Genomic DNA, 24,004 nt, shown 5'->3' with positions numbered 1-24,004 from the left:
ACAGGGCAGATGATAGAGCGAGGCTGTCTGAAGCAAGAATGGAACCTTGGGCATTTTAGAGCAGTGAATCAGTCCTTCAGGACCATGTGCTCAGTTTTTGCTTGAAATGTAACCACAAAACACACTTCCCAAAACAGGGAGTTTTGTTTCCTAGTATATTCAGTTCTGCAGTAGGGCAGATAATTTGGCAGGGATTCCAATCCACTACATTCGATACTGCTTTGACCCAGACTAGTTAACTCTAGAGGTTGGGGCTCCATATGTGAAGCAAAGTTGCTGAGCTATTAAAAAATAAGACATATGAGGAAAGGTTAAAATATGAGATTATGAAGCTGATTGAGGGAAATTGCTGGTGATTTAAATAATGGCTTTCAGACCTCCAATGTGTATATGATTGATGCTGGGCTGAGAAACTTTTCTCTGAATTTGAGGCCAAACACAATTGAAACAATGAGGTCTGTCAACAAAAGGTAGAACTGTCATCATTATTAGTCATGTTATGTTGATGCTGCAGTAACAAACATGCAAACAGAACAACGTGTAGTATCAGGGATGGGAGTACATAAGCCTAGAAGCTGAGACTCAAATTTCATTTTTAGTTTCTTTAAAAAATATTTTTGTTTAGAGACAGGGTCTCATTCTGTTGCCCACGCAGGAGAGCAGTGGCGTGATCCTAGCTCACTGCAGCCTCAACCTCCTGGGCTCAAGCAATTCCCCCACCTCGGCCTCCTGAGTAGCTGGGACTGCAGGCGCATGCCACCATGCCCTGCTAATTTTTAAATTTTTTGTAGAGTCAGAGTCTCACTATTTTGCCCAGGAAGGTCTGGAACTCCTGAACTCAAGCTATCCTCCAATCTTGGTCTCCCAAGGTTCTGGGATTACAGGCGTCAGCCACTGCGCCTGGCCTCATTTTTAGTTTTGCAAGTAGTTAGATATTTCCAAGTCTGGATGTCAGGAGAAACAAAAAAAGGTCCCCTGTGGCCACATGCAGAGGAAGGGCTGTAGACACAGACTAACACTCTGTTTCCTGCTCTTTATTTGATTTTATTATTCTTTGAAAAAAACAGATATGAGAATTGCCGATGCACAGGCCAGCCTGTGCTACCATATGTGGGCTTTGAAAAGATTCTGGATTTTCTGTCTGTATGATAATATGTGCTGCTGTATAGAGCAAGGAAAACAGAGGTGGTTTTCCAAGCTCCACAGCCCATCTTTATCACTGCCAGGTAAAGCTCTGTCCCTTAAAAGTTAGATACAACCAACCAAGTGACATTTATTGAGACTCTACTATGTGCCAGACCTGGGCAAGGTACCTTCTCATAAGGTCGAGCTGGATGACTGGCTGGGATAAAGGATACAGCCAAAACGTGGGGGTCCAACAGGAGGTCGTGGGGACCACATGCTCATCCACAGGACCTGATCTAAGCTTGTTCATAGACCTTCTGTGTATTTTCCTTATAGAAAATAAGAGGATTTTGCTTATCATTTCTTTTCCATTGTTGTCAGTTTCAGTTTTTTATATGTCCTAATAACCATATATTTCATTTTCCACCCATCCAGACTCCTTACTCCTCCCCATTTGGTCTGGGGAGAACTCATAAATGTCATTGGTCACAAATCCACTCTCCACGCTCACCAGAGTCACAAACCCACTTTCTGATGGGTTCACAGCCATGTTGTCATAGTCACAAGACATGTCATCGGGAGTGGCTTCTCCCGAACACACTCGGAATGAAATATTCTTCAGGTCTGGCCGGGTCTCAGCTAAGTCAGCTTCGCTTTGTTTTCTTATGACATTGTAGACCTCTAGGTCCGGGCTGTTTCCCTGGTGAGGAGAGGGCCAGATGGTGTGTTGCTTCTTTGTGCTAGGGTCTGGCTGCTCCCGTTTTCTAGGAAGAAAGAAAACCAGGGCTGAGTGTTTTAGACCAGGTGATTGAGAATACCCTTGTGCTTCCTGTTGAGACGAGAGGAAGCAGCCCTGGGCAGTCACCCAGCTGCATGTCTCGTCTATGTAACTTACAGGCCAGGGCTTCGGAGTGGGAGGGAACCAAACAGGGAGATGTTATGTTCAAAGTGATTGTGTATCTGTCATTCACTGCTGCCCAAGTGTGGGCAGGGTTATTATCCTGGGGTTCCCTAGAGTCCCTGGAGTGTCCAGGGATAGAACTGAATAGAGAAAAAATACCACATTACAAAAAAAACCCAAAAAAACAAAAAAACACCTCAGCTGTGCACAGTGGCCCACGCCTGTAATCCTAACACTTTGGGAGGCTGAGGCAGGTGGATCACTTGAGCCCAGGAGTTTGAGACCAGCCTGGGCAACATGTTAAAACCCCGTCCCTATAAAAGATACAAAAATTAACCAGGCATGGTGGTGCACACCTGCAGTCCCAGCTAGTTGGGAGGCTGAGGTGGGAGGATAACCTGGGAGGTCAAGGCCGCAGTGAGCTGTGATGGTACCGCTGCACTCCAGCTTGGGCGACAGAGTGAGACCCTGTCTCAAAAATAAAATAAAATAAAATAAAATAATAAAATAAAATAAAATAAAACCAAAACAACAAAAAACACGACTCATCCATAAGTGAAATTTAGCATGTCCTTCCATTATGAATGTAAGAGATAAAACAGCAGGATTAATATCTTTGACTTGATCACTACTAGAAATTATAGATGTTTTCATATCACAGTTATAGATGCCTTGAAATATTTTAACCTCATCTCTACTTCAAAATTATAATAATTATACCCAGCACTAAATAAAGAAGCATTAATAAAGGAGTACATGTATTACTAATCACATATTCATTTTTGGAAATATTTTGCTAAACTATATAACAGTATGATTGCTTCCTTTGCAACCCAATGTATTTTATTTTATGCATTTAAAATATTGTACTGGGCCGGGTGTGGTGGCTCATGCCTGTAATCCTAGCACTTAGGGCAGCTGAGGTGGGCGGATCACCTGAGGTCAGGAGTTCGAGACCAGCCTGGCCAACATGGTGAAACCCATCTCTACTAAAAATACAAAATTAGCCAGGCATGGTGGTATGTGCCTGTAATCCCGGCTACTTGGGAGGCTGAGGCACGAGAATCACTTGAACCCGGGAGGCGGAGGTTGCAGTGAGCCGAGATTGCGCCATTGCACTCCAGCCTGGGCGACAGAGAAAGACTCTGTCTCAAATATATATATATATATATATTTTTTTAAATAAAATAATAAATAAAATAAAATATTGTTCTGGAAGGAGTCCATAGGCCTCACCAGACTGCTGCAGGGCACAAAAAAGATTAAAAACCCTTGGGATAGACAGACACCCCAGCTTTAGAGTCACAATTCCCAAATCCTGTTAAAGTACAAAACAGAGAGTCAGGAAAGGAAATCAAGAACCAACTGAGTAGGCAGAGTAGGCAGCTGGAAAATATGCCTGTAATTTTTTGAACTAAATTCTACTTTAAGATTCAAAGGAAATAACTAATAAAATAATCCCAATAATAGGTAACATTCAAGTGCTTAGTATATACTTATTCTGCAAGTATTAACTGCCTTAATCCTTATAATAATCCTACAAGGAAGTTACAATTAACTGAAATAGATTTTACATTGGAATCTTACTAATTCATCTCAAATTGGTCTTTAAAGGGAGTCAAATCTTAAATTGGGCCTTAGTTTTCCTGTTGTAAATGGGAATACTAGACATCTTCTCCATATACCATGATGATGGAGAATAAAAAGGTAACTGAGAAGAGCTTTCAGTACTAAAAATAAAATAAAATAAAATAAAATAGTGGCACACGATCCTGACCATATACAGAAATTGTTGATGCCACCTAGTGTAGCTATTTTATAGCACTCTATACTTGTGTACTGAATTAAAAGAAAAGTCAGTTAAAAGGAATTTGGCTCTTTCAGTTTGAATTAAGTGGTTTAGTTTCAGATGTTTACCAGAATACTTTGCAGCAGTCATTTTTCATATGGCTCACTATTCATTCCTTCACTCAGTCCACAAACATTTTCAGAGTGAGGGCATACATTCATGAGAGCATTTTTGCTGGGTGACGTGTGAGTGCACGGGAGGTGAATAATGCAATTTCACCCTTCAAGTTGTTTTAAAATCTTCCACGTACAGACAGTAAAGCAAGTAAGATCACTCTCTTAATCACAACTAAGCACAAATGCCTAGTACTTCTGAATGCCCTGACCTGTCAGAGAACCCACTCTCCAATCTGCAATGGTGATACTCTTGGTGCTGCCGTGGGTTTTAATGAAGTAAACAAGGCAATATCCAAATCTCAAAGAGAGCAGAAGATGCAAAGGTTTACACAATGAAGGTTTTACTTGCCTTTTTCTACAGATCCAAACCCAACATACAACTGTGGTGACCACAAGGAGGAGGAGAAGGGGAATGCTGGGGATTAGGATGTAGGCCAGATTCAAGGCAGCTTCTGAAAAGAAAGAAAGCACATGATCAGCATTGGCTGTTTTTTGTTTTGTTTTTCTGTGCTTCAAACCAGGCTTAAAAAAAGCATAATCGTCAAAAACCACTTGTACCCCCAAATCTATTAAAATTAAAAAATTAAAAAACAAAACAAAGGAAAAGGCTAATCAACACAGAGTATTCCAAAGAGCTCATTCCTGAGTGATCAAGACACATCTAGCCAGTTAGCAAAGAGTCTTCTGGTTTCGATGGATGAGCATTTTCTACCTGTCCTATTACCCTAAGTGATAATGAAAATCAGTTTAAATTTTTAGGTCTTCCAAATATCAGAAGGGCACTTTTGTTAATTAAGCTTTTTGTTTTTTTTTTCAGAGAAAAGAGAGTCTCTCTTTTCTTGTCCTCCCTTAGTAAAGCAGGGGCCGCTGGGGCAGTGTTGATGCTTTTGCCTCCAAGGACAGTCACGGAGTTCCCACGATGGGATGGGGGAAAGAGAGGGAAAAAGAAGCAAGCCAGAAGTTTCAGTGTCATTACCAGGAAAGAGGTCACAGGAAGCAAGTAAATTACAGTGTAAAACCTTTCTGACATTTCTAAGACCAATTAGATTCAGTTGGGTCCATGAGCCATGACTGTGAAGAGCACTTAGAGGCTTACTTTTCTGAACTTTCTAGTCCTTTAAGACTTAGAACCAAAGATGTTCCCCTCAAGTGGCTTTGGGAGGAATCAAGGATTGGAGGCTAACCCTCTTCCTACTCCCACTGACCCAAGCTTCCTGACTATCCAGAGGCTGTTGGCTTTTCTTCTGTGAGATTGCAAACCTGACCACCACTAAAACCCCTAAACCCTCAAAACCCACTTTAAATACCACCATAATAACAATGAGCAATAGAAATGCCACCCACCTTTGCAGAGCACTTTGTACTTTTTTCACATATATGTTATATAATAAAGAATCTGATGGGCCTTTGTCCCTGGTTCCTGGGAGAGAGGCTCTAAATCCTTGGACTCTCCCCAGTAATAGGAGTGAATTTGTTATTCATGAGCCCCTCAGACCATAAGAGGGTTTATAAGGAGATGATTCAGACGGGGGCTGGCCATGCCAGAAAGACCAACCATGTGATGATAGGGTTGGGGCTTTGAGCCTAGTGATAGCAGCCTGACCTCTTTTGGAGACTGCTATGCATTGATACCCCCAATAAAACCTCTGGACACGAAAGCTCTGTGGAGCTTCCTGGTTGGTGAACACACTGATGTGCCAGGATGCTAATGCATCCTGATTCCATGGGGTGGGGGATGACAAGGAAACTCCTCCCAGACGTCCTGCTGTGTGTCTTTTCATTTGGCTGATCCTGATTTGTATCCCATACAATCAATCTAGTCATAAATATACTATTTTCCTGAGTTCTGTAGGTTGTTCTAGTGAATTATCAAACCTAAGAGGTGGGGATCATGGGCACTCCTGGATTTGTAGCCAATTGGTCAGAAATGCAGGTGGCCTGGGGACCCCTAAACTTGCAGTCAATGTCTGAAGTGAGGGCAGTCTTGGTATGAGTTGTGCTCATGAGCTGGAGTGTGTGCCAACTCTGGAATTTAGTGTCAGAACTGAACTGCACTATTGCAATATCCTATTTCATTTTATGGACACAGTTGTGCTCTCAGGTAGGCAAGAAAAATATTATTACTTCCATTATGCAAACAATTAAACTGAAGCACAGAGAAGTAAAGTGGTTTTTAAAAGTTGCCCAGTGACAAAAACTCAGATGTCCTTATTGAACTTCAGGGCAAGAGTGAGTTTGAAATCCATTAGCACTCCAATGTGTCATCCTATTTTCTTTTACCTTTTATGATTTAACATTTTAAATGTTTTTGTCTATTTCTTCTCTTTGTTTTGCAGATGAATATTAATCATAGATGTTATGCATCACAGCTTGGGTCTTTCTGCTCTTATTTCTCTACATTTTCTCTCTCAGTCCTCACTCCACCTTACCCCACATGACCTCTGAGTGGCTCCCAAGGCTCTGTCTTCATGCAAATTTTTCACCTGCTGTCTGATTTCCCCAGTCATCTTAGGATAGTTCCATCTGCATATTTCATTGATGAAACCTAGCATTTAGTACAGCTTTTGCAAAGCCACACATGCCCTGTCTAGTTCTATTTTTAGGTAGCTGTGGGAAAGAACAAAGTAGGGAATTCAACCATGGGTAATTTGTAATCAAGGGAGCCTGATTATTCATCTTTCCCAGGAGAGTTTTGTAGATACCTCTACTTTCTTTAAATGTTTTTTTGGCATCTTCTTCCTGTGTTTCTTCTGGAAGTACAGGTGTTGTCAGCTCTGTTTCCTCACCTGGAGAGAGACACATGGACTTGTGAACTTGAAGAAAGGCATAATTCAGGTATTCTTTGAGGTCCTACCATGTTCAAATTGGGATGCAAAAAAGCTGTAGAAATTTTGCCAGCACCATCTATAAACGTAGAAAAGTAAAGGGTTGAATTTGCTGCACTAGAGGTTTAAATTATCTTTGTCTTTTTGGTGAGACCCTTGCTGTCAAGAATCCAGTACTAAAACAATCAAGAAGCAGCTGACATCAAGGTACATAAAATACCAAGGTGTCAAGGGGAAGGGCCAAGGACTCACTTCTAGGACCATAAATTAACAGTTTGGCTCATTTTTTTTGGTCTCATTAGATTAAATTATTCCTTTGATATTGTCAATGATGACAAGTAACACCCCAAACAAAATTTGTAACTGTTGCTTTTCAGCTGTGAGAACACTAGAAAATGAGATGACTAAACTAGCTGTCATGGCTGGGTGTGGTGTATACCTGTCCCAAATGCCTGAGTTAATACCACTAGTTTTTCTGTTGAATAATCCAGTCCAAAGGACATAGGGCTTTAAACCTGTGAAGAGGGGCTATGAAACAGCCCCAGTTAACCCAAATCTCAAGTAACAGGCTTACCTTCAGCTTCTCTAGAAGGAACTGCTGGTTTCTCTGTAGTAGAAAGAAACAAAAACAAAAATAAGTAGTAAGTTTTTATGGCATCTGAATGAAATCAACCACAGCCTCATGGCATCCATTTATTTGCTGATTCATTCCTCCGATAAACTTTATTTGTTGTTATCAGATATCAGGAACTGGGCTAGTAAATCAAAATAATTGCTTTTGCACAAAGACTAACCTTCCCCAGCTTTATTTTGGTGCTTTTTTGTTTTTAAAAAAGTATTTAAAAACGTTTAAATATGATAATTTCCAAATATACAAAAAAGTAGAAAAACTGGTATAATGTACCCTGTGTATCGTCATGCAGCTTCAACTCCTATCAATGTACAGCTCATCTAGTTTCAACAATAATCCCTACTCCTCTCCCCTGCACTCCTGGCCTGGATTATTTTAAAGCAGTCTAAGACATTTTTTCAGTTCATAATGGGGATGTTTTAGAGGGCAACAAACACTGATCTCCAAGTAGTGAAAGTGGTTTAGGGGCTCAGTAGACCACTGGCCAGCACCAAGGCAGAGGCTGGTGATCTAGAGCTCTGAGCTTTTGTACATATTTCAAAGTGTCTTGAGAATATCAGGTTGTACAGATAATTGACATCAAATGTTTTTGCTTTTGACTGGGAGTGTGTCCACCTGTTGTATTGGCAATGAGTCTCTTATGCCAATCAGATGCTCTGGTGTTCGTAGGGACAGGGTCTTTAAGGGAAAGACCTTAAAAATCACAGTCTTAAGGCCAGGATGTCAAGCCCATTCTGAAGTTTCACTCAGAAAGGACAAAAACTTTTAGTCATCTTCCCATAAGTGTGTGTGTGTGTGTGTGTGTGTGTGTGTGTGTGTGTATAGGTGATGTAAATCCATTTATTTAAAAAAACCCAGTTATACAATGTCTACTATATGAGAGAAACTGTTCTAAGTGTTGTTTTTTTTTTTTTTTATGTGAGAGAGTCTTGCTCTGTCACCCAGGCTGGAGTTCAGAGGCACAATCTTGGCTCACTGCAACCTCCGCCTCCCGGGTTCAAGCGATTCTCCTGCCTCAGCCTCCGAAGTAGCTGGGATTATAGGCATGCGCCACCATGCCTGGCTAATTTTGTACTTTTATTTTTAGTAGAGATGGGGTTTCACCACGTTGGTCAGGCTGGTCTCAAACTCCTGACCTCAAGTGATCCACCAGCTTCAGCTTCCCAAAATGCTGGGATTACAGGCGTGAGCCACTGTGCCTGGGCTGTTCTAAGTGTTTTATAAAATCAAACTCAATTAATCCTGATAACAGCCTTATTATTATTGTTGTTTATTTATTTATTTATTTATTTTTGAGATGGAGTCTCAGTCTGTCGCCCAGGCTAGAGTCCAGTGGCGCGATCTCGGCTCACTGCAAGCTCTGCCTCCTGGGTTCCTGCCATTCTCCTGCCTCAGCCTCCTGAGTAGCTGGGATTACAGGTGCCCACCACCATGCCCGGTTAATTTTTTGTATTTTTTAGTAGAGACGGGGTTTCACAGTGTTAGCCAGGATGGGAGGTGGCCTTATTATTATTCTGGTTTTGTACATGAGGAAACCAAGATTCGGGGAGATTAAGTAACTTGCCCAAATCTCACAGCTGATAAGTAGCTGTAAAGGAATTTCAACCAAACACATTCTAACGAAAATTAAAATAGTAAGGAGACATAACTGTGCTAGGTAGCGGAGATAAAACAGCAAACAAGAAAGAATCTCAGCCCTCTAAGAAGCTTATATTCTACAGGATAGCCATAAAATCTGGAAATACAGGAAAATATTAATGAACATTGATTTTGTGATATTACACTGGAATACGTAATAACATGATCTGTTCAACACATGATCTATTCATACTGTTGTCCCTCCATACTTCAATCCACGGTGCAAAGTTAAAAACGGCACATCATTGCAGCATTTCCATCAATCCCTGCACGTGCATCTGTGTTGCCTCATGATTTGTTTCTGATATTCACTGAATATGCCTGTGCCTTTAGCACACCCCAGAAGTAAGCAAGTGTTCAGCTATGGCTAGCATGCTGCCTACTCTACATGATTATTTTCTCAAATCTAGTTTTACATATTATCATTCACCCAGTTCCTTGCCACTCTGACATAATGGGATGATGCGCCCTCCTGCTGGAACCACAGGAGTGAGCTTCCCCAGCCCATCAAGTGGTTAAACAGGTAAGTTTCCAGACTTCATGCCAATCATGTAGTGAAGGGGACAGCCTTATAAATAGGTAGTTAAAGTACTGTGTGGGTGAGGTGCTACGATCCTTATAGGAGAGACACCAAACCTAGCTTTGAGGGGCTCTGGAAGGCTTTCCAAAGGAAGTTATTTTTTTAACTTCTTATTTTGAAATATTTCAGATTTATGAAAATTTGCAAGAATGGTACAAAGAATTATCCCATATCCTTCACCTTATCATTTCATCACATTTCATTTACTTAATTATTCTCCCTCTTTCTTATCTCTCCTCTATCTTTGTATCACATACACACGTTTATGTGTGTGTGCATACATGCATATATATATATATATATACACACACACATACACATACATAACATTTTTCCTGCAAACAAGTTGCCAGCATGGTGCCCCTTTACTCCTAAAGATTTTTGTCCATATTTACAAAGGGAAAGGGGCCTTTTCATGTATAACCACAGTACAATGATCAAAAGCAAGAAATTAACATTGATGCAATACTATTTTCTAATCTACTGATCTTATTCAGATTCTACCGATTTTCCTAATAATGCCATTTATAGGAAATCATCACATCATGTTCAGGATCCAACCCAGGATCACTGGTTGCACTTAGCTGTTAGGAGAGAAGGTGTTGTCTAATCTGAAGCCAAAGGGTGAGAATGAGTTGGCTGGGAAAGGGGTGTTTCAAGCACAGGAAACAGAAATTAAGAGCTCTTGGGAAATTCCATTTGGTACAAAGGTGTTGGAATAGGATGAGGAGAGGAGTTAAAGTGGTGAGAATTGAGCTGGACAGGTCGGCAAGGGTCTGGTTGTGCCGATCCTCTTCTGGCATGCTAAGGTGTGTAAACTATTCTGGGCATGGGTGGCCAAAAACAGGCAGTGTGTTAGTTTTTCTCCATGTGCCCACCTCCCTCTGTTGGATCCATTCTCTGTCCTCTGTGCCTTGGGAGGTTGAGGTCTATAAACTGTTTCAATGGGGCTTCCTTGTTCCCTTGTTCTTTGGTCTCTGATTGGACTTAGCCAATGAGAGGCAAAGGCAGAAGGTCAGAGGATAGAAGGAAAGAGAAGTCTCAGTATTTATTCCCCATGCCCCCATCCCACGTCAGCATGGTTTGATAGTAGCTGCATTTTGTGGTAATAGCTCCTGTTGGGCGGGTCCTCTTTCATGACCCCAAGCTTTTCCCGGGTTCTGCTAAAACCATTCCCTCCTTTTATTCCTTCAGGCCTGGACATAACAGTTCCCCATTGTAGCTAGTCCCTGGATATTTTACCATCTCTTGCTCTTGGCCTACACCTCAGCAAATGTCCCTTTTATTACACTTTCCTCATTAAACCCTTTGTGTGTGCCATCTTTTTCTTGCCAGGACTTAGTGTGACTAATATAGGCAATAACAAAAGTAATGAAGAATATGATTTTTTCTAAGAAGGTGCCAAGTCCAAAATAAAAGGATATTAAAGCAAATTTCAAAACCTCACATTTCAAAAACTGTTAAAGGAAGTGCAAAAATTTAAACCATGGAGCTATTAATAATAGAATATAATTAACAAAAGTGATGGAAAGCCAGTATGTAACAAGTGCCTTGCTTTCACTGCTTCATAAAGGTGACTTGCTAAGTCAGTCTAGGTCTTTGCAATCTCCCCGCCTGAGACAACGCTGTATGGTGGGGAGGGCCAGGTCACTGGAGAGAAGAATTCATCCGAGAGGACAAAGAGAGAGAAAAACATCTTTTAGCAGCAAAAATTGCCACCAAACCATAGTCCAGTTCAAACAATTTTAAAATGACAGGATTACTTAGTCCCAAACTAGATATAACTAACAAGTCACTCTACTCCTATCAAGAAAGAATGCAGAATTGGGGCTAAGCAGTTGGCTTTAGGGAAGTGAGAAACTTCAAGGGCAGATTAAGAATCAGTTCAAATTCAAATCTGTCAGTTATAATGGAGAAGTCTGGGAAACCCAAGTATAGCAAAACTACAAGCTTGTAGCCAGTTCAAAACCCTAACAGATCTGGAAGCAAACGTAAGTTGAATTTGCAAGGCATTAAATACAGGGTGGTCTGAGAGTTTAAATCTGCTCATCAAATTACCTGCTATCTCTGCCCAGTGAAAGTGCAGTTGGTGTACTTTATCATTTACATATGTATCGTGCTTCCTTAAAACCCCAGAAAATAATCTCACTGGGCTGTTAGAAGACTTGTAGGAGCAATGGCCAGCTTATTCTAAGCCCCTACAGCCAACCTCACATGTGGAAAGAGTAATAATTTGTGGCTGTCCACTTAAAGGGCTTATTTCCTGACGTTCTTGTAAGACTTGCTTTATCACACATAAATTAGACCTTTTCTTTTTCTCATCCCTTCTCTTAACATCTGATAACCTTTCCTTTGCTAGGATTACTCCTCGGTGAGGAATTGTCATTACATTGCCCTTTACAAGAATTCTTAAGGTTTTATGTTGCTGGCATTTGCAACAAGCTTTCTCAGAGACCACATGACAAATTCTTGGTACTAGCAGCAGCTCATGAAATGAGAGAAGTTGAGAATTCAGCCGCATAGCTTGGGAGAGGATTCATTACCATCAGAATATTTGCAAATGAAATTGTTCTTCATGTTGCACCGGTCATCATTCCACTGGAACATGTAGGGGCCTCCGATGCCAGCGGGTGCCGATGGCTGATGGTACATGACCACGCAGACCTCGCTGCCGCAGGATGGCTCATCCACATACCAGTTCCTGTAGGGAAGGGATCAGCAGTAGAGGCAACTGGAGAAGGATCCCCTGAGACTTCAAAGCCTTTGTTTTCCCGTCAAGTCTCACTGAGCCATAAACATAAGATTCTGCCTCAGAACATGATACAGAGAGAGGTAGGAATTGAAGTACTGCCAGTAAGCAGAACCACACGCATTCTCATATGGACATCACAATCAATCATCTGACATTTGCCACAATCTCTTTGCAGGGAGGAACATGCCACCATATGATGTCTGTAAAGTAATTATGAGAAAAAGCAGCCAGCAGGGCTAGTCTGGACGATCTTATTTCTTTCTTGCTTTTTGCTAATTGGGTTTGTTTGTCTTTTTTTAGATCTCAGATGCACTGAGAAGAGACATGGCTTATCTCATCCAGAGCTTGCCCTGCTCTCATCTCTCCATGATTTTCAACAGCCACCAACTGCCTTTTCAGCCCTGGGAAGTAGATAAGAAATTCAAGCACATGAGCAAGACATTCCAAACATAGAGGCTGTCAAAACAGGTGAAAGGGTGGGGACAAAAGCAGGAGGACCATTTGGTCTTTTTCAGTTTTTAAGTTGTTTCCACTTGATAAGGCTGATGAGCCCCTCAGCCTCTACCTCCAGATGTCTTGTCTTTGTCTCCCTAGCCCCCTAGAGGGGTGCATTAGCAACCTTACACTACTATCCAGTGGCACTTGAAACTAAATGGTGCTGCCACCCAGTTGGATATGTGGGTGCCAGGTTAAAGCCTTGGATCTTATGGAGCGTTTACATCTGTGAGTACCCACCCCATGTGCTGACTCAGGGCTGGGCTTTGTAACCTCCCTGGTTAGTTGCCTGAGCTGTTTCCTTCTAGGGCTCAGATCTTGCTCTGATGCTCAGAGCAGGCAATGCTGCTCTGCTTAGCTCTTGTCAGAGCCCTCTTCAGGAAAGAGACAGCAAGAGACAGCTCTCCCTGTAGCGCCACAGTAAGGCTCTGCTTAAGTCCTGTATTGTTGTCTACTAAAAGGAACATCCTTTGCTGCACTCACTGGATTGAATTTCCTGGAAAATAGCTTAGCTTACAATAAACACTCCTTGGATACTATGACTGGACAGCTGGGGGCACCTCATTAGTTATCTCCAGTCCAGATTCCAGCCCTGTTGGGCCTCCTACCCTGACTTGCCTTGTTCCCCTCCCCACTGGCCTTATGGCTTTACATTATTTTGTCTTATAGGTTGAATATTATGTCTGGTGTATAATTTCTGTACTTGAGCCAATTTTCAGACCCAGAACTCACTGATAGAGAGGCCAGGTTTCCAGTAAGAAGGACCTTGCAACACCACGGCAGGTGCACATGGTAATAACTTCCCGTTTTTCCCTAAAGGGATCCATGGCTATTTCCTCCAGTAACCATACAGCGGGGAAGAGGGAATATCCAAATATTACAAGGGCTGTTGGACACAGGGTGCAAGTTGACATTAATACTCAGACTTAAAGTGTCATCAAAGCTACCCATTAGAATGGGAGCATACTGGGGACAGGTATTAAGTAGAGGTCTGGCCCAGGATCAGCTCATAGTGGCACCCAGCCAGTCATCATTCCCCAGTCCCCAAATATATGAATTGAACAGACATATTTTTAGTTGGTACAGTTCCACATTGGTTCCTTGGCCTATGATGGGCAGGTTGAGCTGCGTCGTCTCTTGGTCTACTTACCTGTGGGGCAAGAGCTATCACGGTGGAGAATGTCAAGTGGGGAAGCCTTTGAAACTGCACTCCTCCCCACCCCTGCCATGATAATAAATCAACAACAATATCTTATCCAGGGAAAGATGGCAGGAAGTAGTGTCACCCTTAAAGACCCAAAGAATCCAAGAGTGGTGTTCCCCATTGCATCTCTAGTTAATTCACTAGTCTTGACTCCTGAAAACACCAGGCAGATCCTGAAGGTGATAATAGAGTAGCACAAACTCAACCAAGTGGAAGCCTGATTGTGGCTGCCTGTGCCATATGTGGTGTCTTTGCTAAAGCAGGTTAACATGCCCTTGGGTACCTAGTATGCAGATCCGGTGAACACATTCTTTTCCTTCTGTATCAGAAAGATAATCTGAAACAGTTTGTTGGGATGGACAACAGTATATACTTATGGTCTTGACTCAAGGCTATATTAATTTTTACCGTCCTCTGTCATAATATGGTGTAAAGAGATCTGGATTTCCTAGACATCTTGCAGAAAATCACACTGACCTACTATATGGCTGACATCATGCTAATTGGAACAGATGAGCAAGAAGTGGTTAGTACACTGGATGCCTTGGTAAGACTTATGTACTCCAGAGGGTTGGAGATAAATCTTATGAAGATTCAGGAGCCTACCACTTCAATAAAATGTGTGGGTGTCTAGTGATCTAGGGAATACCAGAACATCCCTTTCAAATTGAAGAACAAACTATTGCATCTTGCAGTAATTTGAAGAATGAAGCATAGCACATGGTAGGTCTCTTTGGGCTCTAGAGGCAGCATATTTCACACCTGGGAATATTGCTCTGGCCCATAAACCAGGTGACATGGAATACAGCCATTTTGAGTAGGAGTCACAGCAGAAAAGAACTCTGAAGTGGATCTAGGCTGTGTGCAAGCAGATTTGCCACTTGGGCCATATGATGCAGCAGCTCCTATTATTAGAGATGTCAGTGGTGGGAAAAATTATGCCATACAGAGTTTGTGACAAGCCTCAATGACAGAATCACATGCAGACCCATAGGATTTTGAAGCAAGGCCATACCATCTGTAGCTGAAAATTAGTCACCTTTTGAGAAACAATTCCTGGCTGGCTACTAGGCAAGGAGCACCAGAGACCATGAAGCACAACCTGCCCATCATGAGCAAGGAACTGTCAGACACACCTAATCGGAGATTAGGCAAGCTTGGAATAGATCCGTTGTAAGATGGAAGAGGTACATCCAGGACCAAAGAGCACTGCATAAGCAGGTAAAGCAGACTTCCATGACATCTGCCACTGCTGGACCAGAGCCTCTTCCTTAGCTCACATCTGTGACTGCATGGAGGAATCCCTTGTGACTAGCTGATACAGGCAGCCTGAGCCTGGTTCAAGGGTAGGTCAGCTAAGTATGGGAGTACACAGTGAAATGGACAGCAGCTGCACTGCAGTTTCACTGAGGTGGCCTTGAAAGAGACCAGTAAGGGAACATCTTCCCAATGGCCAGAGCTTTAGTTGGTACATCTAGTTAACCACTTTGTAAGGAAAGGGAAATTATTGGAGATTAGATTATATAAGAACTAGGGGTAAGGTAAATAGCATGCCCAGCTGATCAAGAGTCTAAATGGAAATAGACTGGAAGATTGTGGACTAGGAGGTTTTGGATAGAGGGATGTGACTATACATAGAAGAGTGAACATAAAATATGCAACTCTTTTCATCAGATATTAAAGACCACCAGGAAACATCTACTTAGAAGAGGCACTGAACAAGCAGGGAGACAAAATAACTCAGCTAGGTAATGCCAGCCAGCCTGTTATTAGCCACCCCAGTGCTAGTACAATAGATACTAATAGGTAGTGGCAGAGATGAAGGCTATGGATGGCCTCAACAGATTGGCTCTCATTCACTAGGGCTAATCTAGCTATTGCTACTGCCGAATGTTCAACTTCCAGCAACAGAAACCAATGCTAAGTCTTTGACACAGCACCAACACTTGAGGACACCAACATAGCACTTGGTGGCAAGTTGATTACATGGGACTTCTGAAAAAGGCAATAACTCACGTGCCCTTTATACAGTCCTGTGTTTCCAAGAATAAGAATACATGGGTTTGGGAGCTGAGGGGTGGAAGCAGGAGTAGCCTCATTTTAGAATCGCTGGCAGTGACCCACGTAGGAATTTGTGCTTCTTGTCTCTGCAACACTGGGATCTGGAAGTTTAGAGGTCCTGGTTCCCACAGGGGACTGTCAGAAGATACAAGAATCTTACTAAACGATGAGTTATCACTGTCATTTGGACACTCTGGAATCTTTGTGTCCAGGGACCAGCAGAGAAAAAGAGAAGACATTGTTTTGGCAGGAGGAAAGTGGCCCTAACCATCGGGAGGAGATAGGCCTGCTGTTATGTATTATGGGCAAGGAGTTATCTATTTGGGTACCTCTTGGAATTTGCTTGCCCAATTTTGATGGTCAATAGAAAAGTGCACTAACTCTAGCATGATAAGGGCAAGGCAACTAGGACCCCAGATTCTTCAGATATGAGGATGTGGATCATGCCACAAGGTCAACCGTTGAGACCAGCAGACGGTAAGGGAATCTGGACTGGCTAATAGAGTAGGGAAGTCAATAAGTACCATCTGTGGCCTTGGGACCAGCTGCACTGATAGGAAGTGTAGTTCATCCTACTAACCCTCCTTTCTAAAGTTTCTCCCAGGAAGACAGGCTCATGAGAATCCTGGAGGAGCTACTCCCAGAACTTATATGAAGATGTGCACCTGATCAGTGTAATGGGTGGACTAAGATAGATGCTGATGTGCTGCCTTAAATGTAATAGGTAAAAAATATATATATATATATATATTTGTTAAATTTTGGGGGGGTACATAGTAGGTATATGTTAAAGAATATATTTTAAAATCTTCATTCTTTTGATGAGTTTAGACCTTTCCCCATATGATTGTTTACCATTAGATTTTTTATTTTATAAACGGTCTGCTCAGGTCTTTTGTCTCTTTATATTTTGGGGTCTTAGTATTTTATTGACATATAAACTCTTTATCATAAAAAGATATTAACTCTTTGTTGGATCTGTTACACGCATTCTCCTAGTCTCATGTCTGTCTTTTAATTTTGATATTTTTTAAATGTTTGTCTATGTCATTGCATTTCTTAGGGAGGGATGATGGCAATGTCATGTTTCCAGGGTAGGGGATGAGTGAGTCTTGATGCTGTGGGTTTAGCAGGGCCCTATACACTGCAGGCTTCCTGAGGTCCCCACTTTTGGCCAATCCACAGAGTTAGATCTTGGCTCTGATTTCTTGCCCATTATTACAATTCCCTGTGGACTGGAGTCCTACCCTGAGTCATAGCCCTTTGGATCTTCAGTCTCTCCATGAGGTTCTGGTCCAAAAGGCCAGAGAGCCAGAACAACTGGCTTCAAGCATTATATGCTGTTGAAACAAGGCTGCTGGGCTGCACTCACCTGAACAGAGTTCCTTGGACATCAGTTGGGCCCAAATCAAGGCTAAGTTCACCACCTGCACTGCTTAGGTCAGCAGCTATTCTGGTGCTACTTTCCCTTCAGAGATCTGCCTGGTTGGTCTTCTCTTCCCCACTGATCTGGCACTGTGGATCCAGCCTGCCTCTTTTTTGAGTTATGTCAAGTGAGTCAGCAGCTGTGGGTTCCACACACTTACCTAAATTGTGATATGCTGCCATCAGTCCAAGCATAAAGGTCCTGGCAGGCTGTGCTATTGCTTTGTTTCTCCTCACGCCTCCTGAGCCCAATCCAGAAGTCACCATCAGATGGCAAGAGGTTTTCAATGAACTTTTCTATCAGTTTCTGTTCATCTTCAGACTCGATGCTGACTAGCTGGCCTCCATCCCTCCTGCAGGCTTCTTTGGCTTCCTCAAAGTTCAGTCTTCGAGAAGTATCATGGAAGTAAATGACTTTATAACAAGGCCTCTGTGTCCCTCCCCGGCAGACTGGCTGCCCTAGAGAAAAAAGAAGCCAATCTATTTCAGTGTCTCAAAAAGTATACCGGGGCAGGGATACGTGGAGGCATCCAAAGGAAGGTATCCCTGGGTAGGAATTTTGGTTACACATCAGTAGACTGTTATCATGTCAGTTGGGGTTCTCAGAGCAAATTAATACTCCTTCCAGCATGGAGATGTAGTGATTTAAACTCTGATGCCTATATTGTGTAGGGACATCATGTTTTGTTTGTTCCATTACAGAATCTTAAAAAGCAAATGTTTTATTTTGACTGTCCTTTAGAAGAGAAGTAGATGAAGATTTATGGTTTCACTGAAAGGCACACAAATAACACTTTCATTAGGGAGTCTCAGGGGATAATGTGGCTTAAAGGGGGTGTCTCTGGTGGTTCTTTAAGGTAAGAGAGGCTTCCTGAAGTCAGGCATGGGCTCCTCTATTCTGGAACCCTCTGCCTGTGCAGCAGGACTGAGAATTTGCCCAGTCTCTGGTGTAAGCAGAAGCTAAAAGCATCAGATCCACGGGGTTTTCTGCTACTGACAGTCAGCCCTCTGACCTAAAGACAACAGTTAAGGTTTACTGAACTCCTACTATGTGCCATAAACTATGGTAAGGGCTTAACATTTACTTACATACTTTATCTCATGTAACCCTCATAATAGTCCCCTGATGCAGATACTGTTTATGGCTTATTTTACAAATGAGAAAACTGGAGCTCAGGGAAGTTAAGTAATTTGGCCAAGATCACACAGTGATCATCAGCATCACCGGAGTTAGAGCCCAGATCTAATTACAAAATCATGCTGGTACCAGTGAACTAAATTGCTAGCTCCCCGCTGCACCCCAGGCTCATGTTTTACTGGGAGCCTATGTAATGTGTCTTATCAGTCTGTCCCCTGAAGGGCTGAAGATCATCTCAGACAAACAGATGGGATTTTACTGAGGAGCCAATAACAAATCGCTCACAGTACACACTGCTCTAGCTTGCGTCTGTGTGACTGAAGCCTTGCTGCAATGGAGACACTAGCCTCATCACTCCTTTCATTCAATCAACATTTATTGAGTGTACACTTTGTGCCTGGCACTGTGCGAGGTGCTGGGAATACAGGAACAAAAGCTACTTCCTAACCCACAGGAGCACACAGCATATGTTTCCGGATTCAAATGTTCAAAGTGAAAACCACGTATCAACACGGGGAGTAGTCCCCCTGCAAAGAGAAAGCCAAATTGTGGGCTGTGGGTGCGAACTGCTGCCACAGTGCCGGGGGTAAAATATTTTGGTTTGGGAACCTCCTCCCAGAACTTCTGGAATGTTCTTGTTTTCCCAACTTGTTTTACAGCTGCGCAGGGAGCCAGATAGCATTCATTAATTCCCAACACTGGCCAGCATATAGGGCAAGGGGCCACAGACAGATAGAACTATATGATTAGTGCTAAATGAGAAAGAGCACATACAGATTATCCAGAAAGCTCCAGTGAGTCTTCATTTTCTATTTCTTCTCTCATCACTTTCATAAAGGAATTCTCAATGAGCAACAAGTTATAAGAGTTCCACATCTTCTCCCTTTTCCTGTCATTATTTGGCTATTGCTGATAATAGAGAAACTCTAATTAGACTGGTCCAGCAGCACATTAGGAGGGTTCAAAAGCCAGACCTGCTTGCAAGAAGGTATTCAGAGAGGCTGAGGCAGGGATACCCCCGGGAAGGGGGCTGGGCCAGCCACGCTTTTGCGATTCCTCAAAGCTGGCTCCAAATTGGGCAGCAGAGGAGGGGCAAATGAGCCCCCAGGAACTTATCCAACCTGGCCACCGGCATAACATAAGCTGGAGTTGAATTTCCTGACAACCCCCACTTTCCATGTTGGATTGTCAAGGGAAACATAACACCTTAAGCGAGTTTCCTGTATGGTCCAGCCTGGCCACACATCCGAAGTCTGCGGGTGAGTGCCAGAGACCGTCAGAGCTGGAAGGAGGCCCGCGGGCCTATCTGGTTCTCCTGCCTTCAGGAAGTGTCCTTCTCTTCTCATTTGCAGGAAGGCGAAGGGTGGGAGGGCCTTCTGTTCCCCGCGACCAAGGACAGAGCCCACGCAGCCCTAACCCAAGCAGCTCAATTCAGCTTCCCACCTCTTTTGCCGCCCCGCCCCCATCCTGAAACCAACTTTACATTCTTTAAATTAGTTTCGCAAGCCAGGATGCCAGAGTAGAGGAGGTTCCCAGTCTCCTCTGTCCCGTTTGGTCAAGCTGTTGGCACCCGCAAAAAGGATCTGAGAAAAGGGCACGGATGTTCTCCCCCCGACATGCAGAACAACTGAAAGAAGCCAGAAGCCAGAGCACTTTACCTCCTCTGAGGTCCAAATCCGAGGCTGCAGTGACACAACAGGAGGAAGGAAGCAGAGAGTCATTCCCCGGAGTCAGGTGGGGCTCGTCCCACACTAACTGGAGTTCTTTCCCGATCTCTAAGCGCTCTCATACCGGGCGCTCGACCCAGCCATCCAACCCCGCAGAAGAGACGAGGAGTAACAGGCAGGGTTCCCACGGCACCGGGGATCCAGCATCCCTACCCCGCTGTCTCTGCGGCCGCCTCCCGGAGCGGGCGGTAGGCGGGGGCCAGCTGGCAAGCCTGCCCCGCGGGGGTGGTCCCAAGGACTGATTCGATGCGTGTAAAGGAGCGGGCCGAAGGGGCACCCACTGGGGCAGGTTTGCCCACTGCCCCACCTCTCCTACATTCTCCAACCCACCCCCATAACTCTGGACTGGGAACGGGCTTCGAGCGTTCCAGGACGCGCAGGGAACTGCGCAGCTCCGGGAACTGGCGTGGGTCTCAGACGCCGTGCGACTGCCCCCAGAACGCAAGAGACTCCGAAGGGCTGCGTCTGGGAGTGGGGCATGGGACGGCCTTCTAGTCCCATACGTGGCGACCCAGAAGAGGGTCAGCAGCAGCTGGGGTGCAGTGAGCCCACCCCGGCACCAGCCCCCGCCCCAGCGCGCGCACTCACCACTCAGCAGGCGACCCGTCGCGGCCCGCAGCCCCACCAGCAGCACGGCCAGCAGCACGGCCTGTAGCGCGGTTCCCGGCCTCATGGCCCGACTCGGGTGCGCCCCCCGACACTCGGGCGCTACGGCGGTGGAGCGGGCTGGCGGGCAGAGGCGTGCGCGACAACTGCAACCGCGGCAGCAGCATCTCTAGGCCACCGACGGACCGCACGGGAGGCGGGGGGGAGGGCGCGGAGTCAGTCGGTCGCCCCTCCGCCCCCTGGGACGTCACTGCGAGGAGGGCAGCCCCGCTGGCTGGCCCGCCCCCGACAGCCTCCTCCAGCGAGGTTGGCGCCAGACACTCGGCCAGCCAGAGAGGGGCGAGTCGCAGAGGGGAACCAGCTCCCTGTCCCCCTCCGAGCTTCCCTGGGAGATCCCGCGTTTGCCCGAGGCGCTGGGCGGAGGAATACTTCAGTCGGGCCCCTAGGCAATCTGATAACGAGCACAGTGTGCCTAAAACTAGCACCACATCTCACCCCTCCTCTCCCGCTGACCTTAGCCAAGTTCGCCAGCTGTGCGGGTGCACCTGGAGAGAGAGGCGATGCGTGGACTCCTACCTGGGGCTCAGCAGGCCGCAGTCCCAGCACGAAGGGCGACGCCTGAGCAGGGAATGGTCGATGCAGAGAACAAACACTCACGCAGGCAGTGTGCCCACCGGCCAGGAAAGTTATGGGACACCGCGCGGATGGCATCCAAAGAACTTGGCTGAGTTGGAGCCCTCCCGACTGAAAGGAAAGCGGCTTCTACCAGAAGCCAAAAGATGTCCCAGATCCCTGGAAGGAAATGATTCTGTTTTTTGCAGGGAACAGGTTGGGAGGTGGGGGTCATAGTTAGGGAGTTCAGCTTTGGCCCCTCGCCCCGCAGGAAAGAATGAAACTATTATCTCAGGAAAAGCTTTCCTAACCTAGCCCTCAATGTGTGCTTCCTCTTGTAAACTCCCAAAGTAGGTGTGTTTCACTTTGGTTTCGTAAACAAAATGCTTTTAAATATAGTCAAGCAATAGAGTGAGCCATCTGTCCAAAGATTAAGGCACTAAGTAGCAGAAGGTGAATCTGACTTTCTGCCTTTTCTGCCACACCATGCTGCTGTGAAGCATAGCAGAAGCCCCATCTGGGCCACGACCTCTGGATTTTGGTTCCAGCTTGCTGCTTCTTACGTACTCTTTCTGCTTTTCAAAACAGCCAAGAAAGCAGTGATGCTTCTAAGGCCTCTAGCCACTGCAATTCTAAACAAACAGCCTGAATACAGGCTGGGGGTGAGAGGGGAGTGGGATGAATTTCAGTATCAGCTGAGACTATGGGGGAGCTCTGCTGCGGCACGTAACAGCTAACAGCGGTTGTGGCAGGATGAGGCCTGACCTTTATGGCAAGATCATTTATAGACCTTCCTTCTGTCCCAGTTAGAATACGTCAATGTCACATCTAACACACTTTCTTCTTAGAAATTCTTGGTTATCAAAACAACTTGAGAGAACTGTTATGGTGAAAAGAAGCACTGGAGTTGGCATTTGAGGGTCTGTTTCAGATTCTGCTCTTCATTTAATGTCTGTGTGGCCTTTGGCAATTCCGTTTGCCTAAGTTTCACTTAACTGTTGGTAACATTAACAGTTGCCTTAAGAGTTTAGTGAGTGTTTGATAAGGCAAATATATATGTAAATGTTCAGATATCTAGGCACTTAATGTCAATTGAAAAGGATTTATTTCTAATATTATAACATCTGCTACAACTTTAAAAAGCTGTTACATAATTAAATCGTGTCCCGACTTCTCGCTTTGATACCCTGGACCTTGGTTCAGATGGATTTTGTTAGGGTATACAGTCAACCAAACCTGGTAGATTACAATAACGGCCCCAATTCTCCACACCTCCCTGTACCCATATCCTTTACCATATGACTTTGTAGTTTCTCTTTCTAAAGAGGCAGAGTATATTTCCCCACACCTTGACTTTGTGTTTGACCATGTGATTGACTTGTTTGGCTAACAGAATGAGTCAGTTCTGAGCTTAGACCAGAAAGGCCTCATATTTCTTTTTCTTCTCTGCCACTCTCTGAGAGGAACATACCTTAGATATCCCACTGGTCTATGTGTATCCCTAAGAGGATGACAAATGGAGCAGAGCTACCTCAGGCAATTGACAAACTTGCAGTAAGAGACAGAGCTGCTCTAGGTGCTGTAGCTTGAAGCAGAGCTCTCTGGCTAAGCCTAGGTCAGCCAAACTAGATCACACAAAACTGCAGATGTGTGAGCAGTAATAAATGTTGTTTTAGACCCCTTTGTTATGCAGCATTGTTGCAGCAATAGCTAACCATTACACTTGGCAATGTAGGGAGGTATCACTAGGGGAAGGCTGGTTGCCAAGAAAGTCCACAAAGTAGAATTTTTCTTGGTAAAATTACCCTGGTCCAGGGTCCAATTCCTAGTTTAACATGCTCAAACCCAATCTAAGAGACTAATATATTTACACATTGAGAAATAGAATTGTCAGGTAAACTAATGCTTGCATTGGCCTGTTGAACACATATTCTCCCTCTGGGCAAAAAAGATTTATCAGCATGGAATCAGAATGAAAGGAATTAGTTATATGATTTAATAGTTTAGGCTTTGATAGCCTGCTGTGTCCATCTTCACAACGAAGACCTACCTGCCAGGCAGACAGATACATCAACCAGACAGGATACCTTTTATTCTTGCTGGTGCTAGGATGGGGCTGCCAATTTATAACTTTCAAAATTTTCCTTTCCTAGGCCTGACTACCTTCCTTTTGTTCCGAACATTTTTCTTCAAATAGCGTTGTGCCAGAACCTTGTCATTGTCCCCTAATATCCATTCTCCACTTCTTTTGGCTATAGAATCCCTGAATTTTAATTAGACAGAAGCCCCCTCCCCATTTTCTAAAGACAATTTCCAGCC

The 24,004-nt window shown here is 44.2% G+C and overlaps 1 protein-coding gene across 5 annotated transcripts, besides 2 other annotated features; it reads right to left on the bottom strand.

Moving 5' to 3' along the window:
- On the bottom strand, positions 239-21,704 carry LAYN (layilin). Of its 5 annotated transcripts, NM_001258390.2 has the most exons (8): positions 21,056-21,264; positions 20,399-20,422; positions 17,764-18,061; positions 12,209-12,366; positions 7,391-7,423; positions 6,694-6,777; positions 4,341-4,443; positions 239-1,889 (listed from the first exon to the last, which is right to left on the bottom strand). In NM_001258390.2, exons 1-8 carry the CDS (start codon positions 21,138-21,140, stop codon positions 1,526-1,528), a joined length of 1,149 nt encoding a protein of 382 aa, NP_001245319.1. In that variant the 5' UTR covers positions 21,141-21,264; the 3' UTR covers positions 239-1,525. The 5 variants fall into 5 exon arrangements, with proteins under 5 accessions (NP_001245319.1, NP_001305728.1, NP_849156.1 ...); NM_001318799.1 differs by lacking the exons at positions 20,399-20,422; positions 21,056-21,264 and adding an exon at positions 21,650-21,704; NM_178834.5 differs by lacking the exon at positions 20,399-20,422.
- Positions 6,572-7,771: an enhancer, noted in NCBI's record as "MED14-independent group 3 enhancer chr11:111424938-111426137 (GRCh37/hg19 assembly coordinates)". NCBI's record gives its function as "activates an origin of replication core promoter dependent on BRD2, BRD4, P300/CBP and CDK7 cofactors, and independent of MED14, by STARR-seq in HCT116 cells {active_cell/tissue: HCT116}" and the evidence as "EXISTENCE:reporter gene assay evidence [ECO:0000049][PMID:35650434]".
- Positions 21,482-22,161: an enhancer, noted in NCBI's record as "H3K4me1 hESC enhancer chr11:111410548-111411227 (GRCh37/hg19 assembly coordinates)". NCBI's record gives its function as "activates a minimal SCP1, AML or CMV promoter by ChIP-STARR-seq in naive H9 embryonic stem cells {active_cell/tissue: H9 hESC(naive)}" and the evidence as "EXISTENCE:reporter gene assay evidence [ECO:0000049][PMID:30033119]".

The sequence above is a fragment of the Homo sapiens genome, chromosome 11 (genome assembly GCF_000001405.40).
Source record: "Homo sapiens chromosome 11, GRCh38.p14 Primary Assembly".
Taxonomy (NCBI): Eukaryota; Metazoa; Chordata; class Mammalia; order Primates; family Hominidae; genus Homo; species Homo sapiens.
Note: the sequence above shows the minus strand (reverse complement) of the source record. Positions and strands in the feature narration are given on the sequence as shown.